Genomic DNA, 6,006 nt, shown 5'->3' with positions numbered 1-6,006 from the left:
TCATTCCCTAACATTTTGGGGTGCACCTTCTCAGGTTTTTCCAGTGTACTCATGACCACACTGTATGTGGTTGATACAGTTTGGATATTTGTCCCCCCTCAAATTTCATGTTGAATTATAATCCCCAATGCTGAAGGTGGGGGTCTAGTGGGAGGTGTCCGGCTCACGGGGCCAGAGTTCTCATGAACAGCCTGGGCCATCCCTTGGGTGATGAGTGAGCTCTGGCTCTGAGTTCACCCGAGATCTGGTTGTTTAGAAGTGTGTGGCACTTTCCCCTTCCGCCCCCTCTCTTTCTCCTGCATCCACTATCTGAAGCCTGTTCCTGCTTCACCTTCCGTCATGAGTAAAAGCTTCCTGAGGCCTCCCCAGAAGCAGATGCTAGCACCACACTTCCTGTACAGCCTGCAGAACTGTGAGCCAATCAAACCTCTTTTCCTACAAATTACCCAGTCTTGGGTATTTCTTTATAGCAGTGGGAGAACAGACTAACACAGTGGTTTTCCTGTGCTCATGACAAAAACATCCTCCCTGTCGCTCATCCTTAGGAATTGTTCTGGATTAGGTGCCCTTGGCGGGGACGCCCCAGCCCCTCCCTAGCCAGGACATGCTGACCTTTACAGCCATTGCTTGTGTACTGTCGCCCCACTAGACAGTGGGCAGGGACTGGGCCAGCCCCAGGCCCTCAGTGGTGCTGCCAGCCCACATGAGCAGGAGGCACCCCGCTCTGGAGAGAAGCTGCATTGTAGGGAAGGCACACTGGGGAGTTAGGGACACAAATCTACCTCTCTACATTATGATAAGCACTTGAAAGTACCAGGGGACAGAGGAGGGCCGATGGCTCTAACCGACGTGAGGAGGCGCAGGAGAGGACGAGAGTCTGCAGACCACCCGGCCCCAGCGCCGGCTCCTGCCTCTCGTCCACCACCACCAGCAGCATCCTCGTAACCCCCTCAGGGTAAACCGCCAAAAACTAGAGTAGCAGTTGCAGTGGCAGCAGCAAGGCCACCCCAGTTTTGCCAAAACTGTCCTGCAACTAACCCACCGTGACAATGCTTGCTTCCCATGTTCAAGTAGTTTTGGGTGGTTTTTAGATTTTTGGTTGTAAGTAAGCGTATTTTTCTGTATTTCACCCATTCCAAGACGCACTTTCCCTCCATTTCAACATCTTTGAGATCAGGGTGTATCTTAGGATGAGGGACAAAAACCTCCCCGGCAGCATTTATCCCTTAGTGGAACACAAAACAGTGGTCACTCTCCAGTGAAGGATGTCTCAGACAACATGAGACATGGTTGCACCAAATCAATCAACTATTTAATTACCACTTGAAGCTTTTGTTTCATGCTTAGAAAGCCCTTCTTCATCCCAAGATTAAATCGTTTTCATTTCCTTTTATATGATTTGCCTTTCTTAACCTTAAATATATGACATGTCTAATTTATTTTGGTGTAAGGACTAAAGAATTGGCTTTTTTTTTCTAAACGGCTCTTTGTCCCAGATTTAATATGGTACCTTTATCACAGCAAAATTCCCAGATGCACTCAGTCTATTTCTTACCTAGATTCTATTACTATGCCAATCTCACAATGTATTAATTATAACTTTACGCCATAGTCTCATCAACATGCAATTACAAAGGCACCAATTTTGTGCACATTAAGAAAACACCAATTAAATTAACACACACCATTGACTGTAAGAAATAACCCAATCTCAACGATGTGAAAATGGTAGAAAATGCACAGCTTGGATCAATGTACTCCCATACGGCAGGTGGGACAAGTCATCTTGGTCACTTATCTTTTTCAGAAGTTTCCTGATTGTTATATTTTCCCAAATAATTTTTTTTTTTTTTTGAGATAGAGTCTCACTCTCTTGCCCAGGCTGGAATGCAGTGGCACGATCTCGGCTCACTGCAACCTTTGCCTCCCGGGTTCAAGCGATTCTCCGGCCTCAGCCTCCTGAGTAGTTGGGAGCACAGGCATGCCCGCGCCTGGCTAATTTTTATTTTTATATTTATTTATTTATTTTTGAGATGGAGTTTCTCTGTTGTTGCCCAGGCTGGAGTGCAATGGTGCGATCTCGGCTCATTGCAACCTCTGCCTCTTGGGTTCATCACGTGATTCTCCTGCCTCAGCCCCCTCAAGTAGCTGGGATTACAGGTGCCCGCCACCATGCCTGGCTAATTTTTTGTATTTTTGTAGAGACAGGGTTTTACCATGTTGGCCAGGCTGGTCTCGAACTCCTGACTGCAGGTGATCCACCCACCTCGGCCTCCCAAAGTGCTGGGATTACAGATGTGAGCCACTCCACCTTGCTTCCAGCTAATTTTTGTATTTTTTGGTGGAGATAGGGGCTCAACATGTTGCCCAGGCTGGTCTCGAACTCCTGACCTCATGTGATCCGCCCACCTCAGCCTACCAGAGTGCTGGGATTACAAACGTGAGCCACCATGCCTGGCCCCAGATAATTTTTAATTTGGCAAGTCACCACCATACAAAAAAATGAGGTTTTAATTAGTCTTACAGTGGATTTTCAGACAAACTTATAGAAAATTACACAAAGGATTTTAGTGGTTAGAAAGTAACAGCCTTTTTTTCCCCTTAGAAAGTATCTCAAAATTTACAACCTCTACCACATACTTCATGCCAAGAAAATTAGTATTGCTGTCTCATGAGCTAAAAAGACCACAGAGAAAGAGAAAAGCTTTCTGTAGTAACAATAAATGATATGAACCTCTGTATCTTTCAGAGAAAAGGAAAGATACTTGCTATGGACTGAATGTTTGTGTTTCCCCCAAATTCCCAGGTTGAAATCCTAACCCCTAAGGGGATGGTCTTAGGTGAGGCCTTTTGGGAGGTGATGAGGTGATGAGGGTGGGGCCCTCTTATTGGATTAGTGCCCTTACAAGAAGAGAAGTGAGAGAGATGTTCGCTGTCTCTGCCACGCCAGGATGCAGCAAGAAGGCAGCCCTCCACAAGCCCAGGAAGAGAGCACTCTCCAGGAGCCAGTTCAGCTGGCGCCAGCTCTCAGAGTTCCCAGCCTCCAGAACTGTGAGAAATAAGATTCTGTTTTTTAAGCCACCCTGTCTATGGTATTTTTGTTACGGCAGCCTGAACTTAGTACCTGAAGGATGTAAAGAGAAAGATTAGCTAATTTTAAGATCATTTAAGGCTATTTCTAGTCACTTTCTTTCTCATACCAAAAATCTCACAGAAATAATTTAAACCACAAACAAGAACCAAAATTGTAAGAACAAGGACATGAAATCACATCACTTCTAAGTGATCAGGTCGTGTGGGTCAGTGAGAACACCCTGGGCTGGGCAGATTCGGAGGCTGCCATTTGTCTTTTCCCTCTGCTGCAGAAGCACATCAGTTACTCAAGGCCATTTTCAAAGCACCTCACCTGAGCAGCAGCAACAAACTCAAATCCCTGTCGAAAAACACAGCAGAGCCTCCAGCCATGGGGAGCACTGGCTTGTGAGGATACTGAGGGCCCCTGCAGGTTCCAGAACTCCACTGCCCACCTGTGCAGGGCCAGGCCAGGGGACACTGCCACACAGCACCAAGTGCTCTAGCAGGGACAGGCAAGAGGCACTCAGACAGGTTGAGCCCCCGACACCTGACAGGTACAGCAGGCAACAGTGACCTAGAACCTAGAGGAGATGTCCACTGAGCTGGGTCAAGTGGTGAGTGGCTCAGAGAAGAGGAAGAGAAACAGTGATCCCAAGGACAGACACCCGTGGGGGACCAGAGACACAGCAGGGCCCCAAATACAGAGAGAAAGGGCTTGTGGACTTGGGGCAGAATCCACAGAAGGAGCTTGGGCAGGAGAGATGACCAGATTTGCCTTCTGGAGCCCACTTATGTCCGTGAGGGCCACAGCAGAAAAGGGAGAAGAGGAGGCAGGCAGGGCTCTCCCAGAACTGAGGAGACCCTGAAACTGTCTAGGTAATGTGAAGGGGGTCTGGACAGCCAGGAGAACTGCACGAAGACAGAAGCTGCCAGTGAGTGGCTGCTCAGAGGAGGGGCAGGGATCGGGGAGAGTCTAGGAGCTGCAAGTGAGTGGCTGCTCAGAGGCGGGGCAGGGAGGTGGGGAGAGTTTAGGAGCTGGAAGCTACAGCTGGGGAGGTGCTCACAACCTCCATCGAGGCAGGTGAGTTGGAGGGAAAGTGATCCATCCTGCCTGTGTGGAGCTTGGCGTGTCTGTGGGAAAATCTAGAGGCTCAGTAGGTGAACTGGGACCCAGGAGAGAGACGTTAGCTGAGAACAAACTTCAGAGTCATGCTGGGGCCCGGCACTGTCACGGCGGATGGTGCCAGGTCCTTGAACACCAACATCTAAAGGGCCAGGGGAAGAGTTGAGGGCAATCGAGAAGAGAGTGACCAGAGACTTGGGGAGAGCGTCCAGAGGAGCTGCACCACCCAGGGCCATGGAGGAGTGAGAGGGAAGCCAGGGAGCCCTAATGACTGGCTGGGCCCCGGGCAGCAGGGGCGAGAACGATGGAAAGCACGTGCTCGAAAGCCTGGGTGGAGAGGGAAAGACCAGCTGGGCCACAGGGAGAGGGGATAGAGTTAGGGAAGGAGAGAAGAATGGCTGGCTTTTTGCCTTGTTTCGGTTTTATTCATTTACTGATTGGAGGGAGACCTGCAGGTAAAACACAGCCTTGAAGAGCTAGGGGAGCGGGGAGAGCACCTTGGGAGAGACTCAGAGCCTGCCTCGTTCCCTCACCGCCATCTAGGCAGGGCAAGAGCTGCTAAGGGCAGGAGGCCCCGAACCACTCAGCATTTCTGAGCAGTGCCCTGGTCAGCAGCGCCTGAGCACTGCTCAGAAAGTAAACTTGATCTACAAAGCCTGGCTGTGGCACAGCTTCCAGCTCTTCCAGCTCAGGGCTGCCCTAGGCAACAGCAGGCACGACACAGGGCTGTGGGGTCAGCCAGGTCACCATGGACATGAGGACCCTGCCCATAGCATGGTGCACCGAAGGGCATGCACCAGGTGCCCAGTGAAGACACGCTGAACAGAGAAGAGGTGAATGAACAAGGCCTTATGAAAGTGCTGTGTGCCTCCAACTCCAGAGCACTGTGGAACAGCTTACAGCGCCCGGCCCTGCTCCACCGCTGGGATGCCAAACAGCCCTCAAGACAGGCAGCTGAGAGGGGCTCGCAAGAGTACTTAAAGCAGGGCTTACCCAAACACAGTCAAGCCCAAAGCCCATGAAAGAAAAGTGGAATTCTCCTCAGCGAAGTTACGTTCAACCAGCCTGGATTGGTGGCTCACGCCTGTAATCCCAGCACTCTGGGAGGCTGAGGCAGAAGGATGGCCTGAAGCCAGGAGTTCAAGATCAGCCTGGGCAACATAGGGAGACCCCATCACTACAAAAACAATTGTTTTAGATTAGTCATGTGTGGTGGCATGTATCCGTGGTGCCAGCTACTCGAGAGGCTGAGGTGGGAGGATTGCTTGAGCCCTGGAGGTAGAAGCTGCAGCCGCAGTGAGCCACAATTGTGCCACTGCACTGCAACCTGGGCGACAGAGACCCTGTCTCAAAACAAGTTACTTTCAATGAAAAAAAACCAACCAAACAAACAAACAAAATACCCAACACCCTGACACTCCCTTACAATGCGGTTTGAGCAGATGAGGAAACAGCTGCTGTTCCGAGTGTGGCGTGGCCGGTCAGATCATAAGTCGCAAAGGATCCTGTAGGGCCACCGGGCCCCTCACCCCTCAGGAAAGGGGTGCGACCTCTGGAAAGGCAGTTCCCAAACCCCCCTGTGGACAGCTACCACCACTAACGCTTGTTTCTCTAGAGGAAAAATGTCTCCCAGGCTAAATTTCAATCAGCTTTGCAGAGCCCACAAGTGAAGCTCCAGGTTGAGCAAAGAGCCCAGCCGAGTCGAGATCCCCACAGAGAAAAGTTACCGAGAAAGCTGAGTGTAGTGCAGACCACTGTGGAGGACACAGTGTCCCACTGTGCCAACGTCAAAGGTGCACACTGTGGCT

General features: G+C 50.5%; 1 annotated feature.

Moving 5' to 3' along the window:
* Positions 4,644-5,450: an enhancer, noted in NCBI's record as "H3K27ac-H3K4me1 hESC enhancer chr6:160242614-160243420 (GRCh37/hg19 assembly coordinates)". NCBI's record gives its function as "activates a minimal SCP1, AML or CMV promoter by ChIP-STARR-seq in primed H9 embryonic stem cells {active_cell/tissue: H9 hESC(primed)}" and the evidence as "EXISTENCE:reporter gene assay evidence [ECO:0000049][PMID:30033119]".

This window comes from Homo sapiens, chromosome 6 (genome assembly GCF_000001405.40).
Source record: "Homo sapiens chromosome 6, GRCh38.p14 Primary Assembly".
NCBI classification, from domain to species: domain Eukaryota; kingdom Metazoa; phylum Chordata; class Mammalia; order Primates; family Hominidae; genus Homo; species Homo sapiens.
This window is presented reverse-complemented; position numbering and strand designations above follow the sequence as displayed.